Below are 20,871 nucleotides of genomic sequence, written 5' to 3'. Positions count from 1 at the left end.
CAATTCTTGCTTGCCGCTGGGTTTCTTCTGAGTTTGCTTCTAAGCCTTGGCGGGGAAGGAGGGCTCCTGGCTGAACCCAGCCAGACTGGCTAGCAGGATGAACGGAGGCAGGAGTCAGTCAACCCTTATAAGGGAGTTCATGCACAAGTATGTTACAAACATGCTTATGGCCTGTGTGCAGAAAGTAACTGGTGGCCTAGCACAGTTGACCAAAGTTCTGAGAGCTATGACTGAGACTCAGGGGCCCAGGGGAGCTGGAGAAAGGAGGGGCTTCTGAAGGCCAAGTCACTAAAGTCAAGGGACATCTGCTGTCTCTGGTGACATGTTTATCACACCCACACCACGTACATTGTCCTGGAAATTTATTGTTGTCTCCTCTTGTAGGAGAAGCCACCTGGGCAGGAGGGGAGACAGTCCCTTGTGGGAGGACTGATGGTCCTGGTGGGGAAGCATGGAGGGGTAGAAGTCAAGAGAGAACAAGAGGAAGAGACAGACAGGGATACAGAGTCATAGATACAGGGGCAGAGGAAGAGCAATGCAGAGAGGGAGAGGGAGGAGAGGAGAGAGAGAGGGAGGAGAGGAGAGAGAGAGGGAGGAGAGGAGAGAGAGAGAAAAGAGAGAAGAGAGAGAGAGAGAGAGAGAGAGAGAGAAAGAGAAACGAACCTCTTGTTTACTTCTCTCCCCGCTGTCCCCTGGTTCTCCTGTATCCACTTTCTTGACATACTCCTTGCCTTCTTCCAAGGCCTGCTTTCTGTTCCTGTCAGAGTGGCTTATCCTTGGTTTTGTTTTTAATGCCGTGAAATTAAACCTTATTTAGTGCTTCATTTTCTGCCTCTAGAGGGAGAGAAAGAGAAAGCGTTAGGACCCACCAAATTGAATGAATTTGCTGTGCTGTGTCGGAGAGAGTTAGTTTTGTAGGACAACCGGGATGTAAAATCATTCTGGAGATTATCACCAGATAAGCACCCCTCCCAAGAACACGATGTGATATGTAATAATTTTAGTGAGGAAAACCATCCTTGTTTTGCCTTCTGGGAAATCTTATGCTATTTCTATTTGATTCTAACGTTGGACAATTTCCAGAGTTCTGAAGAACCAACTATCTTAACTCCTCAATGATTTTGACAGGGAAGACAAAAAAGGGACAGCAATTCTGGGGCTGGGGCTGGATCTCAACCAAAATATCTAATTTCAATTTAGTCCTGGCTTCTTAGCTGGAACAAAGAGAAAGTTTTTACATTTTGCAGAATATTTAGTTCGCCTCAAAGTCTATTGGGTTAAAATATATGTGTGTGTGAGTTTTTCCTTTCATAGTGGTTCAGAATGCCTGAGAGTTTGTCTAATCAAGACTCAAACATTTTGAGTGGATTTTTTTTCCCTCCACCATCCTACTTCTCTGAGATATCTTTTCTAGTTTTAAGAATCTCACAAGCTCCCTCAAGTGATGCTTAATTAGAGGAGCTTTCTATCCACTAAGTATTTTCTTAAATGTATAATTGATTGTGCAAGGAAGGAAGAGCTGCTGGAGTGGAAATCATACATCATTTCATTATTAATGGCAATGTCTAAGTAAAATGCAGACATTGTCATGCTAATGGATAGCTGTGTATGTTTAGCTTTAAATCAGAAGCTTTTTTCCCCTTTACTGTTCTGGGATCATTTTAGGAAGTTTAAGTAGCATTTAATATATTGATAAATACCTGCTAGCATGCTGGGCTAAGGTTGGAAAAAGGAGCCAAATGAAATCCTGACGAATGCAGGGGAATGGTGTGACAAAATGAATAATTTGGGATGCCATGTACATTATTACCTCCTTTTTACTACTTGTGAAGAAGCTGGATTTTTACCTGGATTTAATTTGGAAGACATGTGTATTTAGCACTTACTGTGTACTGCTTCCACTGAAAACATCCACAGATGTCCTCAGAGAACAACAGAACTGAAAAGTTGCTGAACGGCCCTCACCCTGTTTTTGGTGTGGAATTCATCAGCCAGAGTGAAAGAGTCTCTTGTGGATCCTGAAATGGCTGGCTTAGATCAGAGGCTTTCTTAGTTTGCAGTTCCCCAGAAATTAGACCTTCAGCAGGGATTTGGATGCAGGTAGTTTATATGGGCATGATCTTAGGAAGCAGGAAATGAGGGAGAGAGAAGAGGGAAAAAAGGCAAGGAAGAAAAAGTAAGGCAGTGATGTATTATCAGAGTCACTGCTGTGGCTGGTACATGGTCCCATTGGAATCTTCTAAGGGACAGAGTAAAATGTGCCTCCTAGAGCCAGGCTCCAGAAGTACAAGAGGCTAGAGCATTATCTCCTGGCACCTGTCCCCTCTTGGTTGAGGGCTGTCCCAGGGTGCTGGTGTGCAGGCTGGGCATCTGCTTCAGAGTTGGCATGCCGTGGAAGGAAGCCACGACATAGCAGGTTGTGGTCAGGGTCAGACATGTGGCTGAAGTCAGAGGTGGGACACAGGGATGTGAGGTAGGCACCAGATGCATCTGTTATAGAAGCTGAGTGTAAAGTTCCTATGGGGAGGGAAGCTTGATAGTCCATCCTTTTTTCTTTATTGAGTACCTACTGCGTACTTGGGTGTAGGAGGCATCTGGTGATTCTTCATTGAGTCCATCAAGAAGTGCACAAATTCATATACCACAAATGTTTGTTGAGTGCTCATTGTATGTCTGGAGACCATTCTGTCTTCTTCCCTAAGAGTGTTCATGCTGTTGGACCAGGTGTTATGATTTTGCTCTGGAGAATAAGGTATTTCCACATGGAGCATGTGGAAAATATAGTGCCTATCTCCTGAAAGGTCCAGGTGATGCAAAGATGAATGAGACATGATTGGAGGTTTTTCTTCTGTCTGAAATGCAGACAGTTCTGGGTTGGGCAGCTCTGTAAGATGCTGAACATGTGTCCTTCCAAGAAGCAAGGATCAGAAAGCAGACTTTGATGGGGGATGTGAGAGAAAAAGTTCAGACAGGCTTCTATGAATTTACTAAAAGTTTTGGAAAGGTTATACCCCCGTGGGAGGGAAATAGCAGTAATGGGGTATGTGGCAATGGGTACAAAAGGGTTGGGGCTGATGTGTGAAGGACCTTGAAGGGCATGAGAAGAGGTATGGGTTTTCTTTTGTAGGGAGTCTTTTTACACAAAGGGGAACATAAAATTCATGTGGATGAAAACTCAATGTCAAAACATGAATTCATCTTCCTCCTTATTATTGATGGATTTCTCTGTCCCTTCAGTTATAGGAACCGAGGAGTCATCCTTGCTGTTGCCCCTCCCCCATCTCTGTCAGCCATACTAGTTATCTCTCAGCTCTGTCCCCTTTGCGCCACCCCAACTCTGCCACCTGACTCCTGCCTTAACTCCAGATTGGTGTCTCTGCAATCTTTTGGTTTCTCTAGAGACCCTTCTCTCCTTATAGGAGCCAAAGTAAGCTTTTGAGAATTCGAAGCTGATCACGACATTCTGTAGCCTTTAACTCATCAGTGGCTCCTTATTGTTCTTAGGATAAAAGCCAACTTTCTTACTCATCTGCTGTTCCCATTGCTTCTGTCACGGACATTCCTTCCTCTCTGAGAAGCTCAATTCATCCGTCAGATTCTAGCCCCTTTCCCTTCAGTTCTCAGAGACACCTTCACTCCCCAGCTGGGTCAGTTCCCAGCATAGGATGCTCTAAGCCCCATGCAGCCAGGAGCTGTGGTTGTTTGTTTACTATTCTATTCCTCCTGACACTCAGTACTCAATAATAAACACAGTGCCAGACACTCGGTACGCAGTAATATCTATTGAATGAGTTATTGGATGAAAAGCAATGTAGCTTGTGGCTGTGGAGGGTACGGATTCTGTCCAGTGTTGTGCTGTAGCTGGCTTATGTGGACTCATGAGAACCAACTGAGTGAATCTTTTCCCAGCTCTGTTCAGTGATATCACATTGGTAGCTTGAAGTCATTCATAGTGGGGATATTTACACCATAGAAATTGGCAAACACTACAGAGCCGGGCTCCCTCCACCCACTTTACTCAGAACACTGTTGATCCTGCCAGTCATGAATCTTATCCAATCTTAGGTTTCTCAGATTTACCCCTCCATACTATGTCTTTGTCACCAGTTTTCTGGAGGGCAGAGATCACATCTTATTAGTCTCTGAATCATTAATCTGTAGCAGAGTGTACAACTCAATAAGCACCTGTTTAAAAAAAGAAAGACGCTCACTAGTAGCTTGAGTCTCCAGTCCTGGCATGCTGTCTCTTCTACTTAATGTGCTCTTTGAGAAAAGGATTTTGAAATGATGCTTTGGCCTATTTGAGGTCTCTTCCCTTCCACCACTCCACTTAGGCCCATGGCTCTTACACATTCCGCTTATGTTACAGTAGAATGTTTTAATAAGTAGGATTTTTGTCATTGCACAAGTCGACACAATTATGGGAATAGCTAAAATTCACCAGTAGACCTAGTGGGTTCAATTCAACAAGATTATTGAGAGCCTGTTTTGTGGGAGATGCTATTGCTCATATGCTAGTGAAACAGACATTTTCTACCCTCGAGGGTCTGTGCACTGAGAGGCATAGTCATATGCAAACCAAGAGTAACTGATAAGATGGTTAAATGGTGGGACAGAGTGTCAGGGGCACCTGTATCGGAATTGATTAATTCTGTGTGGGGGTCATGGAAAGCTAGAGAGAAGGGATATTTGAGTTAGACTTGGAGGAATATACGGAGAGCTGTAGGGAACAGTTCCCAGAGGCAAGGAGATCAATTTGGGAAGTTACTGGGATAGTAATGGCCCAGAGATAATGAAGTCTTGGTCATTACTGGTGGCAGAGCTAGAAGGCAGTGGGCAGGGAACAAAGCTCAGATAGGCTATGGGGAGCTGAGGGAGAAGAGAATCAAGGTGAACTGTCTGGATCATTTTTTCCTCCAGTCCTTTTTGTGGTGGGAAGATGGGAGAATTGGAATGATCTAAATATGGCTTCCTAATGTTCATGTTATCTTGACTAATCTTGATAAGACTTTATGACAACTTTATCTCAAGCTCCTGCAGTTTCAATAGAAATTGGATTTTAGGATGCACAATTTGATTTAGCCAAACAGCTTTGGACTTCCATCCTACTTCATTGTCCCTGAGTGTCATGACTGTCATTGTCTGCATTCTAATTCTGTTTCTATTTGAATCATTCATTAAGTACCTAAAAATTATGCATATAGTAAATTCACAGGATACCATATGCAAATAGGAAGCACCCCTCACCCTGGTCCTAAATAAACATTGTGGATTTGTTAAGTAAATTTGGGAGTTTCAGATCTTTTTTTTAATGCAATGAATTGTAATGTCACACTTCCAATACGACAAGGATTCTTTTTTTTTTCTTCTTCTTTTAAATACAAGGGGAAAAAAAAATTCATTTTGAGTCAGAAAGTGGGTGTACGTAGGGGAGAAAAAAGGAGGGAGGGAGGAACTGTGTATAACTTCTCTTCTGCGTTTTGGCACAAAAAAGTTGCTCCCATCAGCTCAGCTTGGCTAAGAGAGGCCTCCAGATAAGAATTCTTGAGATCTCTGATTCTTCTCCACATGAAAATTTAAAAAACATTAAAAAAAGAAGAAATTACAAATGATCTGATCTTGAATGCCAAAAATCTAACCTTTGATGTTGGCTTTTCGGAAGTTAAATAATGAACCAAAGTTTCTTTTTTTCCTTTTTTCTTAAAGGACTACTTCATAAAGCCTATCTTACTTTATAATAAAAGGAGGAAAACATAAATAAAAGACACTCAAATATTTATACAGTTATTCAAAGGATTAAATGTATTTGGTAAGGTCTTAAGGTTGTTTAATATTTTCCCCTTCTTTTGAATCTTTGTTTTTAGCTCTGGTACATTGAAGATTTTCTTTTTCCTGTGGTTTTGTTTATAGAAATTAACAAATTCCCTTGTGATCCTTAAGAAGTTACTTTAGAAATATACAAATATACATGAATGAGAGAAAGGGGATATGAAATAGATGAGATAAGGAAATATTGTCATAATAACTACACTCTTTATATTACACTACTTAGTTAACACTACGTATAATTGAATAAATGACAACAACAGTGAGTAATAGACTACTTATTTGACTCAGAGAGAAAAATCTTGGGGACCTGCACTTTAGAAGAATATAATTTTACTTTTAATTTTTATGTTATATGAATACTCTGTGGCAATGTACATACTCCACATGTATTTTCTGCCTCGTGACTTACACTGGAAGAGAGAGGAATGATTAGTTTATATGTTAAAAATGCAGTGAATTTTTATTTGTCCTGAGTCCACTTCCTCCACTCCTACACACCAGCTAGGATTCTCTTGTGAGACAGAACACACTTTATAGTTTTGGTTTGTTTAATTATATGAAAATTTAAGTATTCAGACAATAGTTTTTAGTAGATTAAAACAACAACAATAGCGACAACCCCCACAACACCTGCATTAACTTGGGGTCCTTCAAAAGCCCAGTGTTTCCAATAATGTAATTTGTTGCTTAATAAATAGGAGGTTGGGCCCAATATCCTCTGCTAAGATTGTCATCACTTACACTTAAGATGAATTAAATTTCTCTTAACAAACATTAGTGGGTATTCTATGTAGTTAAACATTCTGGTTAATAGATAATTTCTTCATATGATATACACAGAACATCATTTTTAGATATAATAACATAGCTATGATCAATACAGTTTTATTCAACAATTAGGTGTTGTATAAGGTCCCTGGGGGAATTGTATAAAGTGTTCCCATCTCTCAAAGAACTTCTCACCTAGTGACATTTTTCTGTGATTCAGAGATACCTTGGTGACTTGCTGTGAATTAGGGTCACAATTATGACTATCATTTATCATTGTACTGTGACTGCACAAGTGCCAGTTAATAGAAGATTCAGAATGATAGAATGCAGAATAAATCACATCACCTTTTTCTGGAGTAGTGTCTTGGTGAGCCGAAGCAGAAGCAGAGAATGGATACTGATATTATTTCCATCTGCAAGCCCTCATGACGTATGAAGTGCCGAGAGACATTTATGGTTTTGTTGCTACCATTAAGACCTTTGGCAGAGTCCTAAACTTATTTTGGTCTCTCTCTCTTTTATTGCAAGCTATTTCCAGCTGTTTATTTTTATCTTGCTTTGAGATGTTTAAATAAAAGACATAATTTGAATCTAAATTGTGGTTGTTATCAGATCTGGCTAGAATAATAAGACAGTGATACCAATTCTCCTGGCTTGAAGTTTGGAGTAGTGGGTCATTTATTCATTCAGTGGACACCTACTATGTACCAAGCGAAGACTGTTGTAGACTTTGCATAGACTTTACAGTCTAGTGGGAGAGACAGTCATTCAAAGAATCACATAAATAAAGGTAAAATTACAATTGTTTTAGGTGCTATGAAGGAAAGGGCAGGAGGATGATATGATATGCCAGGGAGAAGAACTGGCTTATTGAGGGTTCTGGAAATGTGTCCTCAGTGAAGTGATGATCAAACTGAGCAAATCTCTTATGCCTGCATTTTCCCCTTAGAGTCCAAACATACATGCTGGAGTCAGATGGACAAGGGTTCCAAGCCTCCAATGTTCCTAACTAGCCATAAGACCTTGGAAAAGTAACCTCATCTCTTTGGAACTTGGAGTTTTTGTCTGCAAAATAGAGAAAGCAACATCCATCCTGCTGGATTGCTTGGTGTTGTTGAAACAATACATTCTATAGGTACCTGATTCAATTAGACAGTAGGTGCTTCATAAATATCAGCTACTATTATTATTTCACCTATGATAAAATATAAGTTATGTGAATCAGGCCTTATCCTTTCCAGAGATATTTTTTAAGAGGGCTTTCCTGAAGCCTAACCTTAAGCAGCTACCTAGTAGCTCCCTGTCATGACATCCTATTTAACTTTTTTATTTTTTTTTTTTTACTGTGAATGTTTGGTAAATAAAAATAAAATATATGTAACACATGCTATAAAGTCATCCAAACTTGTGAACACTCTACAGAACTTAACAACTTAGACTTTTTAAAATTTAAGATATTAATAAGTAGGAGGGCTATGGTACACTTGTCTTTAGAAGACGGATTTTTTTTAAGTAACTGAAAAAGGAGGTAATTATTTTAAGCTTTAATATAGTTTTTGTTGCTGGGGAGCCAAAACATACACACACACATGCACACACACACACACACACACACAGGCAAAGAATTTTTTTTTTCCTTTGGGAAAACAGTAATATGTGTAAACTGGTTTGGAGGAAGTTTATTGTTTCCCAGCCAGAATGACATTTAGGATATTTGAATTCATTGATCATAGTTTTAGGTAAATAAACACTGAAATAGGGTCAGCTTTTAGATATATGGATGGGCTGGGATGCAAGAGAAAGGCTGGCTTCGGGTCCAGGCTTTGCCTTTGATGGGCTATGTACCTGGGACTTGTTTATTTTGCTTTTTTTGGAGCTTCAGTTTCCTCACCTCTGAATTGAGTGGATGAAAGGACCGTCAAGGTTTGCCACGTCCTCATTCCCTGCTTCTGTGATCTGATCTTCTCAGATCCAGATCCCTTTGTGAGCAGAAGATGCAGGCAGGGACCAGGATCCCCATGAATGAGGTAGGCTACCTGCAGGTGTGCATCCCTCCATGCCATGGCTTTGATGGGTTGGCGCCGACAGCAAGCTTTTTTGCATGGGAAAAAGTTCCCTTCCAATTACACAGCAGTTTTGTGGTGGCTGAGGGGCTATAATGGGAATGCTTTGCAGCCAAAGCACTCTCATTCATAAATTCCACTGTGACACTCTCTCTAATTTTTTTCTCTTTTGGATAGATCAGTATTCTGTGGTTTCCTCCACCACAGCCATGCAAGCAAAAGTGAGTAGTTAAATCTCGTCATGGCCTTTAAGTCTCTGCAACACACGGACATGACAGTGTCAATCATAAGCAATATTTGGTGCAGTAAATAACAGTGAGCTGACCCTTCCAATATCTTCTAGGAGGCGTCTTTAAAATGAAGTACAGGAAGGAACTAAATATAGGAGCTGGTCTGTTTCTAGTTTATGGATTTCTCTAGAAATAGACATTTTATTCTGGTAAAAGCTCTGTGTTCATCACACACAGCTAGATGCATGTGCTGAATGTCAACCTCTGTGCAGGTGTGAATATCTAATGTAAATTATGGAAATTTAGGCTGCTTTTAAAAAATATTTTCTACATCTGCTTTTGTAATTTGCATTATTCCTGGGATCCCTTTCTAGAAGTGACTAAAATGCAGAAAGAAAATCAAAGTAAATGTCATTCAAAGAAATGAAATACATAAAATAACCACACAGAATCCATACGCGACAGGCTGTTTTAGTATTTATTTTTTTAAACGTAAGAAGTATATATATTCCCTTAAAGCCAATGTATGAGTCCCTTTAGCAGTGATCTAAAAGATTTCTACTTCATGAAAAACCTATTCCTCTGAGAATCTGCACCCTGTGTTCAGGTAGGTATGTATATGACACAGAACATTAAAAAGTTAACGTTTGCCTTTTCCATGCAGTGTTTGCTATGTTTTCATAGCAGGGATGAGTTAGATTCAGCATAATTGGAATTTCAGAAATACTGTTAGTTTATTAAGGCATTGGGGATTGGTCAAGCTCAGTTCAAATGACCATTGATGTGTGTGACGATGGGTACCAAATTGTGGTGTACTGAACTGTGGATTGTAAGTCTGCCAAGGGTTTGCCTCTGTATTTCTCTTTGGAAAAGATGACTGTTCCTCTGTAGATATGTAGCACAGAATCCGTTTCTAAACAGCTACTATAAAATCTGTTTATTGGTGTCTCTTGTCTACATACAGCCACCTGTCTAAAAGCATAAATTCACATGTAGAGAGTGGTCTATTCTCCCTACATGAGTATATGTCACCCCCATCGGCATCAGTGAAAGCTATGTGCTTACCAGCAGGAGAATAGATTCATATGCTGTGAAAAGGTATGGAATTCTGATTTATAGTCTGTGTTGCTTTTAATGGATATACCTGCAACAGCCACAGAGCTAAACCTGTAAGGTGTTAAAATAAAACATTTTACAGTGCAATATATTGCCTGCTTGTTAGTTAAAAGCACTACCAGGGAGCACACTTTGGTTAAATTTGGCTGTGTTAAAAACATATGTAAAAAAATCTTTGTTTTCTTTTCTCCATTCTTGTTCTCTGTATTTCTCCAAGGATGCTTTCCCTGTTTCCAGGACTCAAGGCCTGGCAACACCAAGGGCACTGAGGGTGGACATGAGTGTGGCTTCAGACGAAACTAAAATGAAAGATTAAAGCAATTCTGAAAGATTTCAAGATAGGCCACTGCCAACTCAGCTTCAGAAGAAGAAAAAGGGAAGGAAAACTAGTTTCTTGAGTCGCTTGTAATCTGGATCATAGCCATTTTGGTGGTGGCCTCAATGGATGTAAAGTAGATAGTGCTTTCAAACCCTTCATGCCAAGGCTCAAAAGCCTTTGCAGAATCATTTATTAAATATTTAAGCGCTTCCTCTTTCTGCCTCTCACTCAGCGACAGAGAGAGCCTGAGAGCAGCATTTTCTAAGCCCAGTGTGGTGCTGGTGTGCGGCACTTTCCTTAGGTTTACTGGCCAGGGTCAGCTTTGTTTTGGCTGATGCTCAAGCAAGCACCCCTCACTCACAGCTGCAGGACCCTCACCACTACAGTTACAAATGGATCTACGTCCTTTTGTGTTTGTGGAGTCTTTAAGTGAGGTGGCATTTTAAAGAAATTCACAGTGCTTTAGAGAATGGTTAATATTACATTTGAGCAAAAAACAATTTTACGCATAAAATTTAGGATTACCTCAAGCAAAGCTTTTGTTTAGTTTTGTCACCTTTTAGAGGTACTCCAGAAAATATTTTAAACCTAGCTGTGTATATCAAGGGTCTGGGGACCTCATTATTAGAAATGGTGGTCTGTACTCATTCGATATTTTATTCCTTACTTGTTTTACTCCCTGCCCAAGTCTTGCTTTTAGGTGAGCATGAATCAAATCCAATGGGACATTTTTAGCTCTTCCCAGGGCCCTTGAGAAGGAATAATAGTATGTGTTGGTTTTAAGTTTCATGACAAAACCGCTTTTAATATTTAAATAATTTTTCTTCTGAAATGGGGAACTCCAAATAAAAAAGTTATTTAATAGCGAAGTTACTTTAACAACTGGCTTTCCTGTTTCTTTCTTTCTTAAAATCTGGAATGGTGCTAAAATAAAGTATAATGTAATATTTCAGATAAATATATTTAGGCCCTGTGAAAATCCTGCTTCACAGCATTTGTAGGGAAATGTAATGCATGCAAAAGTAGACAGTAGTTTATATAGTAGTTTTATTTTAACTAGTACAATATAACAACCTGACATGCTGTGAAAAATAAATAACTTTTAGAAAATGCATTTTCCAAGTATGAAAGTAATGTTGAAAAATGACTGAGGTAATCACTTTTGTATAGATTCTGAAAGTAGAAGAGAGGGGAATAATAATTTATGGTTTAATGCATAGAGTTATACAAAAGTGTAAAAGATTTTCTTTTCTGACGGACCCAGAGGAATCTGCTGTGCCATTTTGCAGAATGACTCAGGGAAGAGGGCTGACTTGTGAGCCAGCACGTGCAGGCATCTTGGCCAACTCATTTATACCACAGACTCTTTGTTTTGGTTTTGGGGTTAGCAGATTGAGTAAATGGATTTCTTTTTTATTCCTTCAGAGGAAAAAGGACTCTTTTGGCTGTTAAATTCCAATTTTCTAAAGGAAGTAAACATTCCATCTCAGGCTTCTCACACATCAGATAAACACCACTTTGAATCATATGTTTATCCTGGAAGGAAATCGCCTCTCCATTTTGTAGATGGGGGCCCAGGAAAGAGGCTACTTGTCCGAGATCCTACAGCTAGTGGGCATCTGAACCAGGATCTCTTTCTACCCCATCCCATTAGCCCTCCTGGGAAGAGTTAGGGTGGAATTTCTGAGACTTCCACAGCAATTAGGTGCTCAGACACTAGATCAAGGGGAACTTTCAAAGTGTTGTTGATAGTCTTGCTAATAGGTCAGGCAGCCCAAAACAGCGCAAATATTATGAGGTGATCAGCACTACACCAAGGAATGGCTTAGGAATGAGGTCTGATCCCCACTCTCCATAGTCTCTATCAGCTACCCACTGGCCTTCTTAAATGCAGTCTAAGTTAATGTGTGTTTGCTTGCTGTGAGGCATGGCCTCTTTGCTAATTTCTTTCACCCCCATACTCTCCTCCTGTATGGAAATACTAGTGCCACCCTGCATTTGATTTTTTTTAAGTTGTTTTGACCGTGAGTCTTAATGTCTCCCTTTGATATGAGTAGGTAGGTCCATCTCGACTGGAGAATGTATACATAAAAAGTCTCTTTCATTGGTTCTAAAAGTGTAAAATATCTGGGCTGTTACCTAAATGCAGAATGGAGAAGGCAGGGCAAGGTCAGAGTAGGGTGGGTTTCCCCCCTCATTTCCCTCCACTGTTTCCCATGGTGTTTTATCTTTTTGCCATAAAGCTTATAGGTTAAAGAGAAAGGTGAGATTGCTTTGCTGTCTGTCATGGTGATGGTGGGCCGTGAGTTTAGGGAGAAAGGACTGCCGAGATAAGAAATGAAATGGTCTTGAATCTCTGGGATTGCAAAGGACAAGGAAAGATATGGGGCAAAATCAAGACATTTCCTTCACAGTATCCCAGAGAAGTGTGGTGAGTTCTTCAAAAATAGCCTTGGCAGCCAGCCTCTCTTGCCACTCTGGCACTGCACACGAACCTAGGTATGGGTATTTGTGCAGAAACAGTCCCTGCAAATTGACTTGAACCCCAGTCCTCTTTCCCTAGGAGATCAGAGGATGGCTGATGTGGCAAATGTGATGGTGGCAGTGGTCCTTATTGATAAGGAAGCTTGGAGGGGTTGAGAGAGGAGCTGATCTTCTTTTTTTTATTATTATACTTTAAGTTTTAGAGTACATGTGCACATTGTGCAGGTTAGTTACATATGTATACATGTGCCATGCTGGTGTGCTGCACCCACTAACTCGTCATCTAGCATTAGGTATATCTCCCAATGCTATCCCTCCCCCCTCCCCCCACCCCACCACAGTCCCCAGAGTGTGATATTCCCCTTCCTGTGTCCATGTGATCTCATTGTTCAATTCCCACCTATGAGTGAGAATATGCGGTGTTTGGTTTTTTGTTCTTGCAATAGTTTACTGAGAATGATGATTTCCAATTTCATCCATGTCCCTACAAAGGACATGAACTCATCATTTTTTATGGCTGCATAGTATTCCATGGTGTATATGTGCCACATTTTCTTAATCCAGTCTATCATTGTTGGACATTTGGGTTGGTTCCAAGTCTTTGCTATTGTGAATAATGCCGCAATAAACATACGTGTGCATGTGTCTTTATAGCAGCATGATTTATAGTCATTTGGGTATATACCCAGTAATGGAATGGCTGGGTCAAATGGTATTTCTAGTTCTAGATCCCTGAGGAATCGCCACACTGACTTCCACAATGGTTGAACTAGTTGACAGTCCCACCAACAGTGTAAAAGTGTTCCTATTTCTCCACATCCTCTCCAGCACCTGTTGTTTCCTGACTTTTTAATGATTGCCATTCTAACTGGTGTGAGATGATATCTCATAGTGGTTTTGATTTGCATTTCTCTGATGGCCAGTGATGATGAGCATTTTTTCATGTGTTTTTTGGCTGCATAAATGTCTTCTTTTGAGAAGTGTCTGTTCATGTCCTTTGCCCACTTTTTGATGGGGTTGTTTGTTTTTTTCTTGTAAATTTGTTTGAGTTCATTGTAGATTCTGGATATTAGCCCTTTGTCAGATGAGTAGGTTGCGAAAATTTTCTCCCATGTTGTAGGTTGCCTGTTCACTCTGATGGTAGTTTCTTTTGCTGTGCAGAAGCTCTTTAGTTTAATTAGATCCCATTTGTCAATTTTGGCTTTTGTTGCCATTGCTTTTGGTGTTTTGGACATGAAGTCCTTGCCCATGCCTATGTCCTGAATGGTAATGCCTAGGTTTTCTTCTAGGGTTTTTATGGTTTTAGGTCTAACGTTTAAATCTTTAATCCATCTTGAATTGATTTTTGTATAAGGTGTAAGGAAGGGATCCAGTTTCAGCTTTCTACATATGGCTAGCCAGTTTTCCCAGCACCATTTATTAAATAGGGAATCCTTTCCCCATTTCTTGTTTTTCTCAGGTTTGTCAAAGATCAGATAGTTGTAGGTATGCGGCGTTATTTCTGAGGGCTCTGTTCTGTTCCATTGATCTATATCTCTGTTTTGGTACCAGTACCATGCTGTTTTGGTTACTGTAGCCTTGTAGTATAGTTTGAAGTCAGGTAGTGTGATACCTCCAGCTTTGTTCTTTTGGCTTAGGATTGACTTGGCGATGTGGGCTCTTTTTTGGTTCCATATGAACTTTAAAGTAGTTTTTTCCAATTCTGTGAAGGAAGTCCTTGGTAGCTTGATGGGGATGGCATTGAATCTGTAAATGAGGAGCTGATCTTCTTATCAGAAGCAAGGTATCTAAAAGTGCCAACCCATCCCTGATGCGACAATTGAGCAGTTGAAGTGCAACTCTGAAATTCTTCTCTTCTGATCTCTCAATCACTGTCTTCAGTCTTTTATCCTGCATCACAAACTTTATCCCTTACTCTGCACCCATGAAGCCAATATTCCCTAAGAACCAAGTCTCTCCTGAGAAAGGCAAGGTGATATGAATAGAGTGAAATAGTTTCATGTCCCCCACCACTGGGGGTCAGGAAAGGAGAACTTCCCTTTTAAATCTTTGGGGAGATCAACCCAAGGACTGAATCTTTTAATGGTAAAGTTCAAGGTCCTTCGAACCCCAAAAGGAGATTTTAAGGGAGTGAGTGATTATCACAATACTTTTGTGCATGCATGACCCTGGGAAGGGCAATAATTTGGAAGGCAAATTCTGTTTCCTCACATTCTTCAGCCTCTCCATTCATAAAACAAGTCTGAAAAGTGATTTCTTGCCTACCCATATAAAATAATTTGGGATCTGATAAAAATGATAATGTCAGTCAACATTGCTTATGTGACAACAGCTGTTGTCATCCTTATGTATAGGTGAGGAAAGCTGAAGCTTAGCGAGGTTGGATGAATTGTACAAAGTCTACAGCTAGTTTGTAGAAAAACTGGGATTTGAATCCAGGTAGTTTAATTTCAGCCTCTAAGTATGAAACCATCACTCTGTACTGCCTCCTTCAAATATGGTCCAAGATCCTTCAATCCTGTGATTTATAACGTCAAATTTCTGCTGATAACTTAACCTTTGGTATCATTTAACATCTAGAGCTGCCAAATAGATTTTCTGACTTTAAAACTCTTGGTTTCTTCCTGGCATTTACTTTTCACTTATTTTGGTGTTTTTTTAATTTATTATTTATTTTTTATTTTTTACCAATGTTCCATTTAGCAGAAGTAAAACAGAAAATTTTTGGTGATTTAGAGATGTTTCCCTTCTTGTAAGCTTTCAGTCACTGATGGCTGATGAGCCTTTGGATTTATTGCTCCCCTGATGAAATGGTGGTCTAAACTCAGCTGCCTTGGTTCTCGTTCTCTCTCTCTCTCTCTTTCTTTCTCTTTCTTTCCCCCTGTTTCTGATGGCTTCAATCAGTCAATAATGTAATTAGGCCACAAAAATAGAGAAAACCAGTGGCTTCTGGTTTATTTTTTGATTTTCTAGTAGGAAATACCCCTAATCCTTGATGTTCTCTTGCATATATTTTCCAAAGAGCACCATGTGAAGCCAGATTTTTATTGACTGGTCTTTGTTTCTCAACATGAGGGGAAAAATGGGGATAGGGCATTGTCCTGGTTGGACAAGGTAGGCAGGAAGCATCAGGCAGCAGGATCTTGTGCCTTGCTCTTGGTTTTTATTACCTGGAGCTCCATCATGAGTCTCAGGGTGGATTGAAATCTTGCATTGAGGCCAAAAGTGAAAGGAAAACCAGGACAAAGAAATCTGCAGGGCAAGGGGTGGGGCTTGGTTAGCAAGAGCAATGGAAAACAACGACAATGAAGTAGCTTGTAGCTTGCTGCCTAATGTGTGTAAAGCGATGGTACAGGCAAGATGGAGTTAATTCAATAAAATAAATATAAAATACTCTCTCCTCTGTCAGGCCTCGCTGGAAGCAGGTCAGGGGTCACTGAGCCGCTTCACTGGAGCACTAATCGATTTGCTGTCAAGGTGGCCTGCTGGGGTTTCAAGCCAGAGAGGAATTGAGAGGCGCTCTGGCCCAATTTCCATAATTGCTCACTGCCTTTAGTGTACAACCTTTTATGAAACACAAAAAATATATCATGGAATTGTATTGATTAGCCATTGGGCTGAATAATTCACTTAGTATTTATTACCTGACCCCAAGAGGTTAAATAAATCCACTATCTAACTTGGGTTTGTGAGAAATATTACTTATTCATTGAAATGTGGGCTGTTTATTGCACAATAGGCCTGTATCTTTGTTTCTTGATTTTGCAATCAAGATTAACCCTTCTTGCATTTTAGGGCCAACAAGTCAAAAAAAGCATAGTTTGAGTGCTCCCCAAAATAAGCCCAATAAAATCAATGCTGAATATCCCTTTGAAGCAGTTTTTTTGATGTTGAATTTTAGTCCTTTGAGTCAAATTTCAAGATGGCCTCAATGTATGGATGCCAATGAAATATAGATGCAAGCCTGGTTTTCACTGCAAACACTACATATTATAATAACAGATGTAATAATAGTGATGACATCTAAGCCCATTTTTATTACACCATTTTTGGAAAGCTTACCCTATTACATTAAACACCCATAAATTAGATGTCCCAGGAGACAAAGGGGTGTAGGAGGTCGTTGGGTAGAATGAAGACTTTTTTGGTCTTAAAGAGGAATCAATCCTGGACAGATAACTGATATTTATTCCAGAAAAAAAGCTAATTTTCAGTAACTTGAAAATATGATGGAATTTTATCTGTAGGGCATTTTATGCATTTGTAAACTTTGGGGCAATCATTAATTATTTACCAGCCAATGGCATTTGCACATTTCTGTTACTCTGAGCAGTAAATCTGTTTTGATGTGCTATGCATCCCAGGCACAACTACATGACATTCAAATCTAATTATGTTCTCAGTTGCCATGAGCTCTCACTGTCAAGATACAACCCTTCCTTAACTCCCTCCGAAAAAGACGTTTTAACTTTTGTGTAAAGTCTTTCTTCAGTTTCCTGTCTGCATCCTCTAGCATCTCAAAGCATTGTTTTTGAGGTTTAATGGAATTTGTTGTAGGTCAAGGAAAGGAAGCCATGTGAAGCTTTTTTTCCCCTCTCTTCAATGAAAGGGAAAGGAAAAAAACATTCATTTGAGTTCAGAGCTAACTATGTTTGTTGATCATTTAGCATTTCTGTATCCAGGATCTAATCTTACGATTAATGGTAGGAAAAGCTGGGGCTCTGGAGTTATGCTCAGAATCTGCCTTTCCTGTGCTGCGGAGTGGAAGGAAGGGATGGCTGCAAAGCGGGTAAACGTGTGCAGAACTTCCTAAAGCATGCTCAGGTGCACCCCACTTCCCGCTTCCAGGCGGCTGCTCCTGTGAATTTGGGCATTACATTTAATTTCTGTGTTCCATGTTACCATGATTTGTTGATTATCATTTTGGAAATTTTCAAGTTTGGGTTTTGGTGTTTGGTCTCTATATTTAGTTTGGGGGTGGGGGCGGATGTGGGAGGGTGGAGAAGGTAGAGGAGGGAAAGAGAGACAGAATAGAATACTTGATTTTTTTTTTAAGCAAGGTTTTAAGTCTTGCTTTCCTTCCCCTCCCTTCTCTCTGTGTGGGGCTCCTTTAAATAGAGAACATAGTTAACAAAATGACTTGAGAGCTCTTGATAGCCTCTTGAGATAATTTGGTTGTAAGCACTGAGCAAAATACATTCTTTGGATATACTCATTTCAAGTGCTAATCATGAATGTTAAATTTTTAAGGAAGCCAATGTCATAATACTGTTCATGACAATTCCAAAATAAATATTAGTGAGATGCTTTGAAGGGAGAGGGTGGTTTCGGAGAGATAGGGAGACAGACAGACTCTGGTTTATGTTTCCATAGAATTCTTCTATAATGTAACCCGGAATCTGCCATAAGGCACAGGATTTGCCTATGTTTAAGAATAACAATGTATAGAAAAGAGATCTGTTGAAGAGGCTAGAAATAATCACTCGGTTTTATGCAGCTTTATGTAATAGTCCAAGGAAACTAAGAGCTGATCGAGGAGCCAGTGGCGTGTCTTGATTTCTAAATATAACCATTTTGAATGGGTGAGGGAAATCCCTTCCTATGCAATAAATATAATGGAAAGGGCCTAGTCTTTGAAATCAGATGGCCCTGGGTTTGAATCCTGGCTACCACTTGTACCTGGAAAAATTAAGTAAATTATTCTGTTTTTTACATTTGTACAACGGAGATAATCATACCTATACTCACAGGATTTTGGACTGAGGATTTAGGAATCAGGATTACAGGAGATGATTCTGGCACAAATTAATGTATAAATAAGTGGTAGTTGTTCTATTGTTATTCTTCAGAAAATTAAACAGGGCATTTGTTACACCTGTTGATATTGACTGGACATTTTGAGACTCTTCTTGGTGGAGATGCTAAACTGAAAACAACCTACACATACCAGAGCATCCAAGAATGTATTCACCAGGTAACCTAGAAGAAATACATAGTTCAACATTTGAAAATTTTTTTTTATCATTAAAATTCCTTCGAAGACGGGAGGAGTGTGGCTGATTTGCAACTGCACCCACAAAAGATGGCGGGTTTTGTTTTATATTTTAACTAAAAGTGGTGAAGATTTTCCAACTGTTCTATTTTTACAAATTTTAAAAGTTTCATTGCTGGGTTAGATTTAGGGCCTGTGTGGGAAACAGAGACTTCTGCCAGCAGCGCAGCGAGAGCCCTGCTGTGTTGTGGTTTCCATGTATTTTTACATTCCACGCATTGCTGAACTGTGTATAGGAGCAAGCTCTAAATCACCGGTGCTTTATGTGAGTTTGCGACCTTTCGATTTGGGCTTCAGACTGAATGCATGATTTTAAAACTGGAGATGTGCTAGTGACTGTGCCACAGACTTTGCCTCCTCCCCTTCTCCCAGCTCCATCCTTCACTTCCCCAGTTGAAGTCAAATGTAGACTTTATATAGCACAGGAAACATTTGGGACTGCTAGTAAATACGTGTAAGAAAGGAGGCTTTCGTTGTTGGAGGTGCATATGCATATGCTGGGCATTAAAGAAAGCCTGGTGGAGATGGGAGGTGAGGAGGGGGTTACTGCTTCCCCCAAATGTCCAGATTTTTTCAGGACAGATTATCTGTCTTAGTGGATTCTGGACATGTTGTTAAAGAATTCCACATACAGGATCCCTTTCTAGTTGGTGATCCTCTTTTATAAATTCCGACAGCTCCAAATGTTGTTTAGGCCCCTGACCTCTTCTCCACATCCCAGCCTGTCCCTGGGCTGTACTCTTTTCTTTTCTTTTCTTTTTTTTTGAGACGAAGTCTCGCTCTGTAGCCCAGGTTGGAGTACAGTGGCATGATCTCAGCTCACCACAACCTCCGCCTCGCGGGTTCAAGCGATTCTCCTGCCTCAGCCTCCAGAGTAGCTGGGATTACAGGCACACACCACTGCATCTGGCTAACTTTTTGTATTTTTAGTAGATATGGGGTTTCACCATATTGGCCAGGCTGGTCTTGAACTCCCAACCTCAGGTAATCCGCCTGCCTCGAGCTCCGAAAGTGCTGGGATTATAGGCATGAACCACCATGCCCGGCTACTGTTTTCATACTTCACGGCCCCACAACCAGCCCATCATGCACACTACAGCCATGCTACTCTCCATAAAGTCCTGTTCTGAACATGTCACTGTGGCTCACATTCATTGGAACCCTCTTGCTTTGACTTATTTGGCCTGTGGGCTTAAATTCACCTTTTCAGCCTTATATTCCTTTAATGTGCTCAGGAGTGTCCATGCTTCTGCGACCCAGACTTCTTTCTCTTTCCCAGACACATTCAGTACTTGCTCATCGCCAATTTCTTGCTCCCCTTGCTCCTTCTGCAGGGCTGCCTTTCCCACCTGGCCCTCCGCTCAGATCGGATCCTGTTGTCCCTGTAAGGATCCACACAAAGGCTCGCCTCTGCAGGAGGCTTTCTCCAGCTCCTCTGGAGGGAATCTGTCCTGCCTCTCTCTAGTGCTTCATTCATGATCAGATTTTAATTAAAAGTATATCTATTTACTCAACAAATATTTGTGGAGTATTTCTTTTATGCCAGCTCCTTTGCTTATGCTGGGATGTAGAGATGAATAATAATATACCATCCCCTGGCCATCAAGGGTTATTTTTAAACATTAAAAAAAGGTTAGAAAAGTAATTTAATTGCATTACAGAAAAATTGGAAAAGACATAAAAAAGGAAAGACCCCATAATCCAATTATAATCATCTTATTGCACTTTTAATTCATGTGCACTTCTACATTTTAAAAAAATTATGATATTGCAACTACAATTTTGTGTTCTTTGTTTTACATTCATATATATATATGTAAAACAAAGTATATATATATTTTTTCTGTGTCTCTACATAGCCTAGGTTTAATGGATAATAAATTACCTTCTTATTGTTGAAAATTGAGGTTTTTTCATTTTCAACTATTATTTACAAATAATACTGATGAACATATTCATATTTATAGTTTTTTTTTTTTTTAGAAGGAGTTTTGCTCTTTGTTGCCC

General features: G+C 39.9%; 1 protein-coding gene across 27 annotated transcripts in view, besides 1 other annotated feature; it reads left to right on the top strand.

Moving 5' to 3' along the window:
* EBF1 (EBF transcription factor 1) overlaps positions 1–20,871 on the top strand; it is a 403,997-nt gene that overhangs the window by 49,114 nt on the left and 334,012 nt on the right. The gene's annotated exons all lie outside the window — the stretch shown is intronic.
* Positions 10,577–10,656: a silencer, noted in NCBI's record as "silent region_16567". NCBI's record gives its function as "represses an Ori minimal core promoter by ATAC-STARR-seq in GM12878 lymphoblastoid cells {active_cell/tissue: GM12878}" and the evidence as "EXISTENCE:reporter gene assay evidence [ECO:0000049][PMID:35858748]".

The sequence above is a fragment of the Homo sapiens genome, chromosome 5 (genome assembly GCF_000001405.40).
Source record: "Homo sapiens chromosome 5, GRCh38.p14 Primary Assembly".
In the NCBI taxonomy this organism is placed as follows: domain Eukaryota; kingdom Metazoa; phylum Chordata; class Mammalia; order Primates; family Hominidae; genus Homo; species Homo sapiens.
This window is presented reverse-complemented; position numbering and strand designations above follow the sequence as displayed.